The sequence below is a fragment of the Homo sapiens genome, chromosome 1 (assembly GCF_000001405.40).
Source record: "Homo sapiens chromosome 1, GRCh38.p14 Primary Assembly".
Taxonomy (NCBI): Eukaryota; Metazoa; Chordata; class Mammalia; order Primates; family Hominidae; genus Homo; species Homo sapiens.
In genome coordinates this window covers 44,599,676-44,615,896 of record NC_000001.11, presented here as the reverse complement: position 1 = coordinate 44,615,896, position 16,221 = coordinate 44,599,676, and the positions used below count along the sequence as shown (strand labels likewise).

General features: G+C 50.0%; 1 protein-coding gene across 16 annotated transcripts in view, besides 2 other annotated features; it reads right to left on the bottom strand.

Moving 5' to 3' along the window:
- The window catches only part of RNF220 (ring finger protein 220), a 246,942-nt gene that overhangs the window by 35,828 nt on the left and 194,893 nt on the right, over positions 1-16,221 (bottom strand). For 15 of the 16 annotated variants that reach the window (XR_007061417.1, XM_047424277.1, XM_047424269.1 and 12 more), the window contains one exon: positions 1,600-1,732. Coding sequence is in view for 15 of the 16 variants with exons in the window: in XM_047424277.1 (XP_047280233.1) it covers positions 1,600-1,732 (133 nt within the window). In the remaining variant the exon portion in view is untranslated. Of the gene's footprint in view, positions 1-1,599; positions 1,733-3,326; positions 3,389-16,221 lie in introns of those variants that run through there. The other variant, XM_047424281.1, reaches the window with a different exon arrangement.
- Positions 5,251-5,810: an enhancer, noted in NCBI's record as "H3K4me1 hESC enhancer chr1:45075759-45076318 (GRCh37/hg19 assembly coordinates)". NCBI's record gives its function as "activates a minimal SCP1, AML or CMV promoter by ChIP-STARR-seq in primed H9 embryonic stem cells {active_cell/tissue: H9 hESC(primed)}" and the evidence as "EXISTENCE:reporter gene assay evidence [ECO:0000049][PMID:30033119]".
- Positions 5,811-6,372: an enhancer, noted in NCBI's record as "H3K4me1 hESC enhancer chr1:45075197-45075758 (GRCh37/hg19 assembly coordinates)". NCBI's record gives its function as "activates a minimal SCP1, AML or CMV promoter by ChIP-STARR-seq in primed H9 embryonic stem cells {active_cell/tissue: H9 hESC(primed)}" and the evidence as "EXISTENCE:reporter gene assay evidence [ECO:0000049][PMID:30033119]".

The window sequence follows — 16,221 nt, the reverse complement described above, 5'->3', positions numbered from 1 at the left end:
CAACCATCCAGCTAAGCTGTTCCTGAATTGATGACCACAGAAACTGAGATAATACATGTATGTTGTTTTAGCTGCTAGGTTTTAGGGTAGTTTGTAACACAGCGATAGATGACTAAATATTTCTTCCTTCAAAATTCAGCTCAGGCCTTACCTTCTGAGGAAGCCTTCTTTGCTCTGTGCTGGGTTTGGTGCCTCCTTGATACCCCCAAGCTCCAGTTCTTCCCGTATAGCAGTCTCCATCCCTCTGGGTTTGTACTGCCTGACCCTCCCTACCCTCATGCTATGAACTTCCAAGGGCAGGGACCATTCTGATTCACTATGGGATCCCCTGCACCTTGCATGGGGATTCGGTAAGAAGGTAGAAGGAAGGAGGATCAGTCAAGTCTGATGACTTGAACTGAATAAGGGTCGGACTGGGAGGAGCGGGGCAGACCGTCCCTCAGTAGCAGATTATATTTTCCAAAGACAGCATCAACCATATCTTCCATCCCACATACGTTTCTACAATTTGACCTTGCCAGTCCTCCCATCAAAAGGGGGGTGTATGTCCTCTCCCCTTGAATTCTGGGTGGTCTAATACTGCCTCAATCAATAGAATACAGTGGAAGTGAGATTCAGTGACTTTCAGGCTAGGTTATAAAAGGTGATCCAGCTTCCATCTCGTTGGCTGGAACATTTGCTTTTGGAGCCCAAAGCTGCCATGCAAGAAGTCCAACCATCCCGAGGTTGGCAAGCTATGAGGAAGCCCAGGCCACATGGAGAAGCCCTGTGTAGGTGCTTTGATTCCAGCCTCAGCTGAGGTCCCAGCTGACAGCCAGCATCAACCCCCAGACATGTGAGGGAAGCAGCCTTCACATGACCCAGCTCCCAGCCACCAAGTCTTCCCAGCTAAGGCCCCAGACATCATGGAGCAGACATCAGCCATCTCCTCTGTGCCTTATCTGAATTCCTGACCTCACAGATTCCACGAGCACAATGAAATGGTTGCTTTAAACTGCTAAGATTTTAGGTAATTTGTCACACCTCTCCTCTACTCTTTTTGATAACCTGGCTCCTCCACCAGGCCCTTGAGGAGGCTCAGCCCAGTCCTTCAGGCAGGGACAAGGGAGGGAGGCTGGGGGTGAGGTGGGGTGGGACAGTGGGGGACACACCTGAGCACATTCTTAAGATTGTCATCTTTCAGACACTGAGATTCATAGAGAAGGTAGTGTCCACCCCACTGGAGGAAGGACTTGGCTGCACTTCTGAGGGGCCTGCCAGGCCTAGGACCTGCTGCTTTTATTCTGCTCTGAGGCTCAACATGGCAGTGCTGGGCCTTTGGCAGTGGCTCACCCCTGTCTAGCTCCTCTCATGTTTTCCTTTGAGGCTGGGGCCTGCGGGGTCACTCTCCTCCCATCTCCAAAAATAGAGCAAGAAGAGGAAGGTGGCTCCATTCAGCGGAAAGATCTGAGGATTGAAACAGAGTTGTGGAGAAGGGTGGCAGGGTCCTGTCTTTTCCCGAGGGGCTGGGGTATGGGCCAGGCGGCTGCTTCTGGGATCCGGTGGCCAGAACCCTGAGTGGACTCCTCCAGCAGGCAGGCTCCCTGGGAGGTGGCTTACCTCGAGGGCAGTTGGGCTAGCTGCTCCAGTTCCTGCTCCATATGCTCCTGCAGCTCACTGGGCCTCAGCAGGACCTGGCAGATGGGGCAAATTGGGGCCTGGCTGTCGAACAATGCCGCTGCTTTCTTCTTACCTAGTGAGGGGAGAAGAACAGACAGACGCGTAAGCTGGGCTAGTCCAGGAGGCAGACCCAGCATCCCAGTCCTGAAACCCAAGCCTGCTGCTGCCCTCTAGGGCTTCTTGGCCTAGAGGAGGGGCCTGAGGGTTTCAGAGCCCACGAGCACCCCTCCTCCTTGCAGCTCCAGAGGCTGTGGCCATGAATGGTACCTCCTCAGCCAGCCACCCCTCTCAGAAATCTATTAGGACACATCCCCCATGGGATGTCTATTTTTTTTTCTTTTTTAAATTAATTAATTAATTTGAGACAGAGTCTTGCTCTGTTGCCCAGGCTGGAGTACAGTAGCGTGATCTTGGCTCACTGCAACCTCTGCCTCCTGGGTTCAAGTGGTTCTCCTGCCTCAGCCTCCTGAGTAGTTGGGATTACAGGCATGTGCCACCACACTTGGCTAATTTTTGTATTTTTTGTAGAGATGGGATTTCATCTTGTTGGTCAGGCTGGTCTCAAACTCCTGGCCTCAAGTCATCTGCCAGCCTTGGTCTCCCAAAGTGCTGGGATTACTGCGCCTGGCCTTATTTATTTATTTTTTTTATAGAGATGGGTTCATTATTTTGACCAGGCTGGTTTCGAATCCTGGCCTCAAGTGATCCTCTCATCTTGGCCTCCCAAAGTGCTAGGAGTACAGGCATGAGCCACCGCACCTGGCCGGCTGGGATGTTTAAACCGCCTCTGTTGCCACTTGTGGAGACACACAATGCTCTGTGGCCTCTGCTTACAGGTGTGGGGTTGAAGAGCCCTATTAATCCAGAAACATCCCTGCATATCCATGGATGCTCTGTGGCCTCTGCTTACAGGTGTGGGGTTGGGGAGCCCTATTAATCCAGAAACATCCCTGCATATCCATGGATGCTCTGTGGCCTCTGCTTACAGGAGTGGGGTTGAGGAGCCCTATTAATCTAGAAACATCCCTGCATATCCATGGATGCTCTGTGGCCTCTGCTTACAGGTGTGGGGTTGAGGAGCCCTATTAATCTAGAAACATCCCTGCATATCCATGGATGCTCTGTGGCCTCTGCTTACAGGTGTGGGGTTGAGGAGCCCTATTAATCCAGAAACATCCCTGCATATCCATGGATGCTCTGTGGCCTCTGCTTACAGGTGTGGGGTTGAGGAGCCCTATTAATCTAGAAACATCCCTGCATATCCATGGATGCTCTGACTGCACAAAGGACTTTAGTTTGAGCCCAGATTTTCCTTCCTTCTTCTTCTTCCCACTGGTTCCTGGAGGGGGTCAAAATCAGCTTTCAGAGAGATAAAGGCCATGCCAGACATGAGCAAGATGGTTGCCTAAGGGGTTGCCAGATTCCACACAGGATGCCCAGTTCAATTTGAATTTCAGATAATAAATTTTTTTTTTGTATAAGCATGTCCCAAGTACTACACGGGACATACTTATACTAAAAGTTATTTATCATTTTCTAGAATTTACCTGGATGTCCCATATTTTCTAATTTTCTAAATTTACCTGGATGTCCCATATTTTTATATGCTAAATCTAGCAACCTTGTACTTGAGGAAGCCTCAAGTTCAGGCTGAGCACAAAACCCACCTCCCTTTGACACCAGACTGAGGATGATTACGGCTCCCTTGGATGCCCAGATAGAGTCATCTGAGGGCTAAAACGAAGGAGGAATTCTTCGTTTGGCTGTGAGTTTTGAGGACTGGAAAAAAGAGAAGGTTTAACCAAAGAAGTGAAATTTAAGCTGTACCTTAGAAGTATATCAGGCAATTGAACGAGTTAATGAATAAGTTGTGAGTTCCTTGTGGGACAGACCATTTCTTATCTATCTTTATATTTATAGACAATTTATATCAGGTCTGGCATAGCCTAGATGCTCCATGATGAAGCAAAAGAGAGGAAAAGAGAAAGGGGGAGAAGAAAGGTGGGGATGAAGAACAGACTGTCCTAGAAGCCAGATAACCTTTGGAGGGCTGGGACAGCAGCTCCAGCCATCCAGGAGGCTTCAGTCCGTGTGGCAAGGTCTCTGAGGAGGGGAGGAAGTCCTACTGATCAGGTGGCTGTGCCTCAGATGCTCGGGGACAGCTGGAGGGAAGCTCTGAGTAACAGCAGCAGATGTGGCCCAGGTCTGGGAGGTGGGAGATGAGGCGTCCAGTCTCAGCTCTGCTCCTGCCTTCAGTTAGCCAGAGAATCTCACAGGTGAACAAGACCCTAGACATTCTCCAGGCCATTTTATTTACAGCTAGGGCAATTGAGGCTCAGAATGGGACACAGACCTCTGTACTCGGCTTTTGATTTCACTACTTCATTCTTTCACTCAGCAAACATTTAACAATTATTCTACGTCAGGTATTATTCTAGGAGAAACTGGAGCTCAGAGATAAATATAATGCATCCTTGGCCTCGAGGAGAACACAAATTAGTAGGAAAGGCAAAAAGAGAGCCCGTGACTGCAGTCAGTGCTGGTGAGAACTATGAGGAGGATATGAAGGATTTGTGGGAGGGTGGGAAGGGGCCAGCAAGGTTGGCAGGATCTGTGGGCGAGGTGATGCTCAGTGGGAGGCACGAGGAGTGAGTAAGGGAGTTGACAGGTTGCTGGAACAGATAATTGAGGCAGGGACTGGGGTCTGAAGGGGGCAATGGTAAGACAGGAGAATGGAGAAAGAGGTGGATCCCAGACATGGGGTCTGAGCTGAGCTGGAAATATCAGGGGTTCAGCCCCCATTAGCCTGGTACACCAAGTCTGGTTCTTAGGGCTTCCTGGAGCCCAGATGTCTCACTCCAAGCATGGGGACCAGGCGTCAGCATTCCCACATACCTGTACTCAGTTCATCTGCTTTGCTGCCACAGGGACATTCTACTTTTCTGAGCTTGGCCCCAGTTTCCCTATCAGGACAACAGGCCCTCTTCCTGCCTCCAAGCTTCAGGAATAGCATTGGCAGGGATCAGCAAAGGGACTCTGCAGCCTCTGCCCTCCATCCCACCCCCATTTTCTCAGGGGTTAGAGTGGCAAGTGTCAGCATGGCCATGGGCCCCCTGTGTCCCCTCCCCCGCTGTGTTCTCTATAATTTTATATTGAGACCTGTGGTCATGACGTGGGTTTTACTGCACTAACGACATGGCCTGCCCAGGTTTAATGACAAAATCCATACTCTGGCCCTGGGCCTGCTCCGCGTTTGCATAATTCCCAGAATACAGCTCCCTGAAGCTTTTGACCTGGGCCATTACAGTGGCCATAAAACGGGCCATAAAAACCGCTGGGGATGGCCAAGACGAGGGGGCTGTGGTCTTGCTGGGGTGGAAATGAAGCCCTCAACCCCATACTCTTCCTAGGCTTGGGAGGAAGCATCCTCTGGCTCTTCCTTTCCACAGCTCCCAGAATCTGGAAGTCCATTTCAGGCTGGCGAGGCCCCTGGAATCCTTAGTTCAGCTGCCCATTGGATGCAGGAATCCCTTCTCCAATACTGCCGGCAGCACCACAGGTGGGCAGGCCGAGCCCACCAGAGGCAGGCTGTCAGCAGGCATCCTCTCGAGTGTTCCTCTCTCCAGCTCATGACACTCCCCAACCCCCAAAAGCTGGCCAAACCCTTTTGCCACATGTGGGTCTAGGTCACACAGGCCTGGTTGAATCCTGTCCCTCCTCAGGAGGCCTCGCTCCCTCAGGAGGTCAGGAGCTGGGCTGAGCAGCATAGTGGGGATATGCGGGAAGCACAAGGGGATGGGGATGGGGACAGGGACTGGGATGGGCTGTCAGTGCTAAAGATGATGAATGGGGGAGGTGAGGCGGGAGGCCCAGTGTTATCGGCAGAGGATGGCGGGTGCGGGCGCTTGCCGTTCCTGCTAATCCCCGGGCGCTGCCTCAGCCCTTGCACTGATAACGAGGAAATGGGACTGACAACAATTTTTAGCTGAGAGATTCTTCACCAAAATGCCAGGCGGCCAGAGGTCTGACAGCGCCTGATTGAGTGTGTGAGTGCGTGGGGGGAACGCCCGCAGCCCCCTCCCCTCCCATGCAAAGATGGATCGCTCATTCCGCCTCCCGTCCACATTCATTACCTCACCTCCCTCCCCACCGCCCCAGTCGCGGAGTGCCTGCCACCTCCACTTCTCTGCTTGCCACAGGTATCCCTGCAAGCAGGAGGAGGGCAGGGAGGGGAGGGGCTCTGACCCCATCCTCAGCCTTACACAGGGCAACTCCAGCTCCAAGAGCAGGGAGGCGACTCTGCAGAGGCAGGGACCGGGAGTCAGGGGAATCAGGTCCCAGCCTGGAGGCTCCCTAAGTTGTATGACCTCCAGAGAGTCCCTTTTCCTTGCTGAGCTGCTAGAATACCTTTCCTGCTGGACAACAGTGAGGCTCCAACAGGGAGTGACTGATGGTAAGCTGCGAAGGACAGGCCTGTCGAGGAGGAGAGAAGAGGTCATGCCAAGGCAGCCCTCTTCCTAGCTTGGGCCAGGCTCCAGCCAGCCCAGCCCTCTCGCCTCGAAACAAGGCCTCAGGTACCCGGGGTCCTAGATCAGCCCTCTGCTGCCCCCCTCTGTTGGGAATGGTTGACCATTGGGAACAGGCAACTCAAGTGCCGGCACAACCTGCCCCTTCCCTGCCATCTTCCACAGCGAAGCCTGGTGCAGAATTGGACATATAGAGGTCGGGCGTCTTGTTCAAAGGGAAAGCCCTCCCCTCCTTGACCACTCACCCACGTCTGGCCTTGCAGCTCCCCACCGTGTGATTGCCTCTCTGGCTTGGCATGTTTGGTTTTGTCCCAGTTCTTTTGCATGAGAGTTCCATTCTCGCCTCTGCTTGTCCAAGCAACAAATTCCATCTCTATTTTTTCTCTACAGACCACAAAAGGCATGGCTTGATCGACTGGTGTCTGACAGGGATGAGGAGGGTTGAAATGAGGGTGAGGGTGACTGTAATGACAGATGGCCATGGAGGCTGGGACTTTTAAGAGTATGTGTGTGGGTATATGTGTGTGTTCATGTGTACACACGTGTGTCCTACCCCAACCCCTGCAATGGAAAGACTTCCATTTCCTAGTGACCAAGAAACAGGAACTTCAAGCAGAATTCAACAGAGCTGCCTCTTGCTAGCTGTGTGACCTTGGGCAAATCACTTAACGTTATTGAGCTTCATTTCTCCTTGTGTGAAATGGGGATAATGATATCTAACTCCCAAGACTTCTGTGAAGATCCAGTGAAATCAGGGCTGTGTACAAGTGAGGAGTCATTAGTGCCTCCAGTAACACACTAGCAAAGTTTGTTGTTTGTGCCTATATCTGCCCCATCCTGACACCTGCCCTGCCTTGCCTATATCTGGCCTTCTTCCCTTCTATGATCCAGATCTTTTACCACTCAGTAGGTGCCCTGGCCCTAGCTCCTCTGGCCCCCATGGAGTTCCTTCTTCCTATCCATCATTACCCATATATCTGGTTATTGGTTTATATGTCGGTTTATCCATCTGTCCATCTACCTATCATCTATCCATTATCTGTCCATTTGTAATAACAACAACTGTCTATCAAGTATCATTATATATTTGGCTGTAGGTCAATACTACACATACTTTATCTCATTAATCCTTACAGCAGTTCTGTGAGGTAGGTGTTACTGTCTCTATCACACTGATGAGGAAAATGGGGCTCAGAACAATGTGGTGACAGCTACAAAGTTCAGAGCAGGGATTTAAATCCAGTTCTGTCTGAATCCAGACCTGAACAATACCCAACTACCTACCTACCTACCCACTCACCTAGCTAATGATTCAATATGACTCCACAGATGTTTACTGGATGCCCATTAGGGGTCGCTATAGCACAGATGCCAGACAATAATGAAGACAGGCGCACTCTCTGCCCTCAGGGAGCTTAGGACCTAACAATGGATAGAAACATGAAACGATTGTCCCCAGAGTGGTCTTAGGAAAAGAAAAGTACATGGGGCCGGTGTGGTGGCTCAAACCTGTAATCCTAGCACTTCGAGAGGCCGAGGTGGGAGGACTGCTTAAGGCCAGGAGTTTGAGACCAGCCTGGGCAACACAGTTAGACCCTATCTCTACAAAAAAATTAAAAAATTAGCCAGCTGTGGTGGCATGTGCCTGTAGTCCCAGCGACTTGGGAGGCTGAGGCAGGAGGATCGCTTGAGCCCAGGAGTTTGAGGCTGCAGTGAGCTATGATCGCACCACTGCACTCCAGCCTGGCCTACAGAGTGAGACCCTGTCTTAAAAAAAAAAAAAAAAGTACACAGAACTAGGGGAGTATATCATCTGGTCTGGAAGGTGAAGGAAGTGACATTCAGCGAAGGCTGAAGGATGCGTGGGAACCAGTCAAACAGTGATTGGGGGAAGTGGTGCTCTAGATAGAAAACAGCACATTTGGCCGGGCGTGGTGGCTTATGCCTGTAATCCCAGCACTTTGGGAGGCCGAGGCGGGCGGATCACGAGGTCAGGAGATCGAGACCATCCTGGCTAACACAGTGAAACCCCGTCTCTACTAAAAATACAAAAAAAATTAGCTGGGCGTGGTGGCGGGCGCCTGTAGTCCCAGCTACTCGGGAGGCTGAGGCAAGGAGACTGGCATGAACCCAGGAGGCGGAGCTTGCAGTGAGCTGAGATTGCACCACTGCACTCCAGCCTGGGTGACAAAGCGAGACTCCGTCTCAAAAAAAAAAAAAAAAAGAAAACAGCACATTTGAAGGTATACAGGAGAAAGAGCCTAAGTGAGGAACTGGAAAGAGTCCAATGTGGCTGGAGCACAGAGAGTGAGGGGCAGAGTGCTGAGGTATGATGATAGAGAGGGTGCATCCTGGAGGACTTTTAAACTACATTAGTGATTTTGGTTATTTTTTTTAAACATACAATGAGAAGCCATCAGAGAGTTTTAAACAGGAGAGTGATATATCAGACTTGTATTTAAAAAAGATTATTCTAACTGCAAAGTAGCCAGTGGTCTAAGGGGCAAGAGCAAGTGCAGGAAGGCTGTTTAGGAGGTTATCTCACTAACTCAGGGGAGAGACGATGGCGGCTTGCTCTAGCATGACGATGCCGGAGATGAACAGAGGCAGATGGATTGGACGTGGAAGTTAAGGGACAGAAAAGAGTTAAGGATGACTCTAAGGTTTCTCGCTTGAGCAACCTCTAGGTGGTAGAACATTGACTGATTTATGGAATGGGAGGAGGAGCAGCAAGCTTGGTAAGGAAGAAAATGAGTTGAGTTTTGGATGTACTTAGCTTGAGGAACTATTAGACATTCATGTGAAAATGCTGAGTAGGCACTCTATGTGAGCCAGAGCTAGAGTTCTAGACCCGGGAGACATTGACATAGAGCACCGAAGCTCACCACTGTGTCCTCTGTGCCTGGAACAATGTCTGGCATGTGGTAAATGCTCAATAAATATTTATTGAATAAATAAATGAATGAAGTTCAGAGTAGGCAAGATCACCTAGGGAGAGAGAATACACTAGGAAGAGTGTCTGGAACAGAACCTTCGTTTACAGTTAGAGGAAGTTTAAGGCATCAAGGACTAAGAAGGAACAGCCAAGAGGTAGAATGAAAACAAGGAAAGTGTGATGTCATTGAAGCCAAGAAAGGAAGAGTTGCAAGGACTCTACTGTCCTCAGTAAGGTCAAATGCTGTTGAGAGGTCAAGGACATAAGGCATGAAAAGCATCCCATCCACTCATCTTATACATAGCACAACCATCTACCCTCCAGTTCATCCACCTGTCATCCATCCAAACCACCTAATTACTCATCCACTCTCCCCTCACTCAGTCCCTTCCTCCTTCTCTTAAAACTATGATTGGCGCCTCTGCTGAGTATGGGACAGCAAGAGTTAACATGCTGACAGATGGCATTTTTTACCTTCAGTCAATATGAACGAGGCCCCAAGACTATGATTCCAAACATCTGGATTTCATCAATATGTGATCTGTCATCGTATATTGGCATTCCCCAGTCTCCGGGCCAGAGCAATGCGGCTGGTTTTATTAATACGTCAAATACATTATCCGTGTAATACACTTGTCTGGCTGGGGCCTCCCGCTGGGGCGGGGCAGCGGATTTGAATGTATGATGAATCAGTTTGCATTACATGTTCGTAAGTCATCATTTGTCAGGATTAATAGGCATCCCTGGTTGAGGAGGTAGGGGTAGGGCGGGCAGGGGAGAGATATGTATTTAGCTGTGGCCCATGCTTTCTTCTGGTGCCCAGGGATGTCCTGGGAACAGCTGTGCACCCTCTTGCCCAGACCCCAGGGTAGTGGCCGGTGCCCGTGGGGCAGAGGTGACATTTTCAGCAGTTCCAGAGTCACTTGGAACCCAATAGGCCTATTTGTTTCTGCTTTGGGCTTGCTAAACAACCAAAAAGGATAGGACAGGGGCTAGTTGCACAACCTGGCTAACTCTTCCTCATCCTTTAGGATGCAACCTAGGGTTCCTTCTTCCACGTGGCCTTCCCAGACTCCTCCAGACTGTATTGGGTGCCTCCTCTGTGTTCCCGAAGCCTCTTGTGCTACTTCTATCACAGCCCTTGTCACAGTGTCATTATTGCCTGTTATGATTCTATCACCTTCTTTAGATTATAAATTTATTGAGGGCAAAAATTAACTTGTTCCCTGCTATAGCCCCAGCATGTAGCAGAATGCATAGCCCAAAGTGAGAAAATAGTCATAGTAATAGTAGAAATCAATAAATATTGTTTGAATCAATGAATAAGTAATCACTGACCTCGCTAAATCCCCAAAGAGGCAGATGCCAGCTGGGAGATGCCATGGGGTTTTTCTCTGATTCCTTGTCCCACCCTGACTCTGGTCTAGTCTGGTCAGCTATCCTTCTATATATGCTTTTCTTTTCTTTTTTTTTTTTTTTTGAGACGGAGTCTCACTCTGTCACAGGCTGGAGTGCAGTGGTGTGATCTCAGCTCACTGCAACCTCTGCCTCCTGCGTTCAAGTGATTATCCTGCCTCAGCCTCCTGAGAAGCTGGGACTATAGGTGCCCACCACCACACTCGGGTAATTTTTGTATTTTTAGTAGAGACGAGGTTTCACCATGTTGGCCAGGATGGTCTCGATCTCCTGACCTCGTGATCCACCACCTCAGCCTCCCAAAGTGCTGGGATTACAGGCATGAGCCACCGCGCCCGGCCCCTATATATGCTTTTATCTGTTCCTCTTCTTTCTGTAAGACATGTATAGACCCTCTCACACAGCATGAGGTTCCTTACATGTGACACACATACCTAGATATAATACACAGGTGTGAAACATTCATGGCTACATACCCTTGCCATCTTTCCTTCTCCCTCCATTCTGCCTGCAGAAACTCAAGGTTGGCACTGCCCATTCCACATGGCCTCCTGCCAGCTCCAGGTACAAGAGCCTGACTCCTATGGTGATGCATGCTATTTACCATCTCTAGCAATAGAAGGTGCCTGGATTGAGCCAGACATGGCTCCTGGGTGGCCAGTGGCAAACATCTGCAAGACAGCCAGGTGAAGTCAGTCTATGGACAGGTTTAGGCTCAGACTTGGGCTCAAGCTGGAGCCAAAGGCTCCAGGCCAAGGCACAAGCAAGCTCACTGAGTCTTGGTCATAGAAGCTAAACCCTTGACCCCATGAGCCTTTGCTCCGGCCAAAGGCACCAGCCAACCTGTTCAGAGACTGGCGGGGCTTCAGGGGCCACAGCTGTTTCACACCCATGACCTTGGCTATTTCAAACATAACTACAGCCTCTGTCCTCTTGTGGAGCTACAATTCAGTTTCTCTCCTTTAGCTAATAACTTCCAGACATCTCCCTGGGTTGGGCTGGGCCAGTGGAGGGTGGGGCAGGCAGGGCCTCCCAGAGTTCCCTGGGATTAGGCTTCACAGACTACAGTGAAGGGCCTGATTCTGGAAAATATCCACATGTGGACCTGCACATGCATCCTCTCAAGTGTCTGGACACACACATGCTTGTGCTGGCACTGGCACACACAAGTGCTCACACGGTGTGGGTATTTTTTTGCATTTAGACAAACACCTGAGCACCTATCACTATACCTGCCTATTCTCCCTAGCCTGCACACACACTTCACTCTCTCTCATGCCTTCCTTGCCATGCAGCCAAAATGCTAAGACTGTACTGTTTAAAGGAAAGTAACTTCAAGTGTGCTTTACCCCCTGCTGGTTCTGACGATGGGCTTATAAAAATGAAGTGGGAACCTCCGCAGCTGTGGGCAATAAATCCTGAGCTGCCAAGGAGGGCAGTGTTACCTGCTTTCTAGGCTGATGGGTGGACCGTGGGGCACTGATTACAAGTGCCTGCAGGGCTGGATGGGCAATGGGCCAGCTGCCTGGCCTCAGGCGCTGCCTGCTAGCACATCCCAGGCCAGCTGCCTCCCTCACACCTGAGGGGTTAAGAGACCCAGAACCCTAGGGAGGGAACAAGGACTATGAGAGCAGCAGAGGGAGGTAGAGGAAGAAAAGGGCTGGGTGGGGAGAGTGAGCAGCCAGCCACGTGCTGCTAAGGCTGAGGGGAGCCCTTGCATCTGGAGATCAATTAGCATCAATTACTGACTTCATTTAATTGTCGTCCAAGATGAATTTGTCATTTTTAGCTGGGAATTAATGGGAGACCTTCACCTCTCCCTGGCAGCAGCGGCGGAGCCAACAATGGTCACCTCAGCCTCCCAGGAGCTCTGAATCCTGCTTGGGTCTGGGCCCAGACTTGGGCAGGCAAATAGTGGGGCTTCTGCTCCCTGGGTGAGCTCTGGCCTGCCCCAGGCCCTGCTGGCCTGGCCCACCGTAGCCCGGGGCCAAGGTGGGGGCAGTGGGTCCTGGGTAGCAGTTCTTTGCAGCCTCTGGCTTCAGCCAGAAATTAATTTGCTGGGCTGAGCATGTTTACCTTTTCCCAGCAAAGGCGAGACAGTAAACAGCGGACCGGCGGCTGAAATTGAATTGATAACTGCATCAACGTGCCAGATAACGCCTAAAATAATACGCCGATAAGGAAATTCGATTTGATTTGCTGCTGCGCATCAGATTGGCCCCATCTGTAGCTGCCTGTAATCATTTTCAATTGCGTTGGGAAACCTTATTTGTCCTTAAATATTTCTGTCATTTTTCATTGCTGGTGACAGATCCTTGGGCAGGTGGCAGGGGTGTGCTGCCTCTATGGGCGCAGGGTGGCGGCCCGAGGAGGAGGAGGAGGGGTGGTGTGGACTCGGAGAGAAGGAGGCAGGGAGCAGGCAGCCGGGCGGTGACAGCTGTTCCTCCAATCAATCACGCTGTCGACAGGGAGGGACGACTGGCTGGCAGAAATTGAGTTTGCCTCACAGGGGACGATTGAGCAAATTAATAGCCCATTAGCCAAGCAGTGACCTGAGAAATGAAGGTGCAGGGGTTCCTGCTCACTCAGGCCGGATGGGGTGGGGCAGGGCAGGGGAAGGGTCTGGAGAGGAGAGAACTAAGGAGGAGTGTGGGAAGAAGAGGAATGGATGGATGGATGAGATGAGCGGTATGTGTGTGTGGGGTGGAGTCGGGAGTCAGTGAAGGAGGAGGGACATCAAGTTGGGGAAGGCAGGCTAGAGATGCAGGCAGTTCTGGGAGGGATGCAGTGGACAGAGGGTAGTGGTGGAGGTAGCTCCGACTGATGTCTCTCCACTACCTTCCCAGCATGACCTCTGGGACAGAGGACCATGCCAATAAACTCCTCTCCATCCGCAGTCTCTAGATACTCCCTTTACTCTCTCTACTCACTTTCCCCGGAACCTGGAGATGCTGCCACTCAGTTGCTGTCCTCTCCACTGCAGGCTGTTTATTCTCCCAACTCCATGCTCCTCAGGCCAGGCAGTGGACTCAGTGTCTTCCAGCTCATTGCTTCTCCACCCTCTGGACTCTTTGAGGTCAAGTACCATGCTACAGCCCACCTTGTCAGTTACCTACCATTCTCTACACTCACCCAGGACTTTCACACTTGCCTCTCTCCCCGAAGCCCATCACTGTCCTGACCTCCTCAGCTCCTATTATTTTTTTTCCTGTTCTTGACTTCCTCCTGGAGATCCTTGTCATCAACCTAAGTAGAACCCGTGACGGAACTCCCTCTCCCCCAAGCCCTCTCAAAGACTTGTATCCATTTAACTTGCTCCTCCCTCTTCCCTTCTCCCAACTCCCAAGCCACCACGCACTCATGGATGCTAGCCTGGGTCCCTTGTGCACCTTCAACACCATCTTGCCAACACACTCAACTTCTTACTTCCTTTGCCTTCTCCACAACCCAACTATTCTCCTTTTTGTCTCAGACACTCAGGCGGCTAAGCACAGCTGGGGAAAATCACAAAACCATGCAGATATGTGCCAATAAAAATTCACAGTTTCCAATCTCAGCACCACTAAACAATCCTTTTGCATGCTCTTGGTCAGCTCCGTCTCCTCTTTCCCACAGAGACAATTCAATAATATTTTACTATCTTGAGCCGCCTCGCCATCTCCTGTCCCCCTCTCTCTGCTAGGTGGCCTTGCTTCCTCCTTCACTCTGAAATTTAGTCCTTAGGCATGAATTTCCTCAGCTTGTGGATCTACTCTCACCTCCCTGTTCCCTCCAGTTTCAGTGGAACAGGCATCCTCCTACTTTAGCCTAATCACTTCTCCTGGGCTTTGATACCAATCCTGCCTATGTTCCCTGGGAAAACTGTCAAGTTCTCCCTCTCTACTGCATCTTCTCCTTCCCTTCCTCATGCTTTCCTCCATCAGCATATCAACTCCCACGTCTTTCCCATATTACAGCAACATCAGCATCAACAACCCAGCTCTCTCTTCCATATGGCACCCTTTTACTAATGGCCTTTTCTTCTCCTTCTCTTCTCACCTAAGATGCTCCAAAGACTCTTGCTTGCTGCCCATACTTTTTTACCTCCTAACCACTTCTTAACTCATCGCAACCTGAGTTTCATCCCCACCATTCTATGGTAACTACTCTCAGTGAGGTCCTTGGTGATCATCCACAATAGATACTCCAGTTATATTTATTTATTAGCCCAATAAATATTTGTTGAGTGCCTTCCATGTGCTAGGCAATATACCGGGGTCTAGGGATACAATGAGATCCATGTCCTTATGGAGCTAACAGTCTAGTGAGAGAACAGATGCAATAACATACTTGTACAATTGTAAAATTGCAATTGTACCAAAAAGAGGTCAACAGTGCTGTGGGAGCCTGTAATATAGATATTTGCCTTGTTCAGAGAAACCTAGAGACACAAGCTGAGGTGTGATAGATAAGTACTTGTTGAAGAGATGAGGAAGAAGGGAAGTGGTAACACTAATCAAATGCTTACTCTGTGGCAAGCACTGTACTTTTTTTTTTTTTGAGACAGAGTCTTGCTCTTGTTGCCCAGGCTGGAGTGCAATGGCGCTATCTCAGCTCACTGCAACCTCTGCCTCCCGGGTTCAAGTGATTCTCCTGCCTCAGCCTCCCGAGTAGCTGGGACTGCAGGTGTGTGCCACCACATCTGTCTAATTTTTGTATTTTTAATAGAGACGGAGTTTCATCGTGTTGGCCAGGCTGGTCTCCAACTCCTGACCTCAGGTGATCCATCCACCTCGGCCTCCCAAAGTGCTGGGATTACAGGAGTGAGCCACTGTGCCCGGCCAGCACTGTACTATTTAATCCCTATTTTATAAGTAAGGAAACAGAGGCGTAGAGAAGTTCTTAGTTTGCCCATGGTTACGAGGTAAGTGGCTGTGTGGGACTTATGTAATACCACAGCCCCATGCATGCTCTTAGTCACGCTATTCTGCTGCCTCTGATGTTAGCTATTGCCCTTGTCATCATTCACTTCTCCCTCTCTCCACACTCTATGTGTGATCTCTGAAACTCTGGTTTCATTCCCTCAGCCTGTACCTCCAATCTGAGCCACGTACAACACTGCGTAGAAGATGCTCTGCTTGGATGTCCCATAGGCTCTTTAAGCTCAACATGTCTGAGATGGGACTTACCTTCCTCTAGACCTGCCCTCCTCCTGCTTTTGGTTTCAGTGAATGGTACCACTATCCAGAGACCTCCCTAAATTGACAATCTTAATTTTTACTCTTTACTCCAGTCCCTACATCCAGTAAGTCAACATCTTCCCTGTTTTTACCTCCTAAGTACTGGTCAGAATCATCTTCTTTTCTTCATTGCCCTAGTTTAGGCATCTTCATATTCAGTCCCTACTCTTAGGTCTCCTCATGTATCTCTCTCCCCTCTAATCTATTCCATCCCTACAGTTACAAGGATCTTCCTAAAACACAAATCAGATCCTATCATTCAGCTGCTTAAGATCCTTCCCTGGTTCCTAAAGCCACAGCATACATTCTGAACTCTTTATCATACATGCCCCTCTCCAGCCTCCTATCCCATCTTGCAATAGTGTGTGCTCTGGCTGGACAAAATGTAGCTCTTCATCTGGTATTCTCACTGCCAATAATGCTCATGACCATGCCATCATCTCCCCATGGGCAACTTTTAACTGTG